Source organism: Homo sapiens, chromosome 7 (genome assembly GCF_000001405.40).
Source record: "Homo sapiens chromosome 7, GRCh38.p14 Primary Assembly".
Taxonomy (NCBI): Eukaryota; Metazoa; Chordata; class Mammalia; order Primates; family Hominidae; genus Homo; species Homo sapiens.
Genome location: NC_000007.14, coordinates 26,261,951 through 26,263,126, shown reverse-complemented (window position 1 = coordinate 26,263,126; position 1,176 = coordinate 26,261,951). Strand labels below are relative to the sequence as shown.

Genomic DNA, 1,176 nt, shown 5'->3' with positions numbered 1-1,176 from the left:
AAGCCTGGGTGGTAGAAGCAAAAGTATATTCAATTTTCATCTCTGCTCCCCGTTAGCTGTGTAGCTTGGACTTGTTTTTTTTTTTTATTTTTTTATTTTTTTTATTTTTTATTGATCATTCTTGGGTGTTTCTCGCAGAGGGGGATTTGGCACGGTCATAGGACAATAGTGGAGGGAAGGTCAGCAGATCAACAAGTGAACAAAGGTCTCTGGTTTTCCTAGGCAGAGGACCCTGCGGCCTTCCGCTGTGTTTGTGTCCCTGGGTACTTGAGATTAGGGAGTGGTGATGACTCTTAACGAGCATGCTGCCTTCAGGCATCTGTTTAACAAAGCACATCTTGCACCGCCCTTAATCCATTTAACCCTGAGTGGACACAGCACATGTTTCAGAGAGCACAGGGTTGGGGGTAAGGTCACAGATCAACAGGATCCCAAGGCAGAAGAATTTTTCTTAGTACAGAACAAAATGAAAAGTCTCCCATGTCTACTTCTTTCTACACAGACACGGCAACCATCCGATTTCTCAATCTTTTCCCCACCTTTCCCCCCTTTCTATTCCACAAAACCGCCATTGTCATCCTGGCCCGTTCTCAATGAGCTGTTGGGTACACCTCCCAGACGGGGTGGTGGCCGGGCAGAGGGGATCCTCACTTCCCAGTAGGGGCGGCCGGGCAGAGGCGCCCCTCACCTCCCGGACGGGGCGGCTGGCCGGGCAGGGGCTGACCCCCCCACCTCCCTCCGGACGGGGCGGCTGGCCGGGCAGGGGCTGACCCCCCCACCTCCCTCCCGGACGGGGCGGCTGGCCGGGTGGGGGGCTGACCCCCCCACCTCCCTCCCAGACGGGGCGGCTGGCCGGGCAGAGGGGCTCCTCACTTCCCAGTAGGGACGGCCAGGCAGAGGCGCCCCTCACCTCCCGGACGGGGCGGCTGGCCCGGCAGGGGGCTGACCCCCCCACCTCCCTCCCGGACGGGGCGGCTGGCCGGGCAGAGGGGCTCCTCACTTCCCAGTAGGGGCGGCTGCCGGGCGGGGAGGCTCCTCACTTCTCAGACGGGGCGGCTGTGGGCGGAGGGGCTCCTCACTTCTCAGACGGGTCAGTTGCCAGTCAGAGGGTCTCCTCACTTCTCAGATGGGGCGGCCGGGTAGAGACGCTCTTCCCCTCCCAGACGGGGTCGCAGC

At 59.9% G+C, this 1,176-nt stretch overlaps 1 annotated feature.

Moving 5' to 3' along the window:
• Nucleotides 1-650: an enhancer, noted in NCBI's record as "NANOG-H3K27ac-H3K4me1 hESC enhancer chr7:26302097-26302746 (GRCh37/hg19 assembly coordinates)". NCBI's record gives its function as "activates a minimal SCP1, AML or CMV promoter by ChIP-STARR-seq in naive H9 embryonic stem cells {active_cell/tissue: H9 hESC(naive)}" and the evidence as "EXISTENCE:reporter gene assay evidence [ECO:0000049][PMID:30033119]".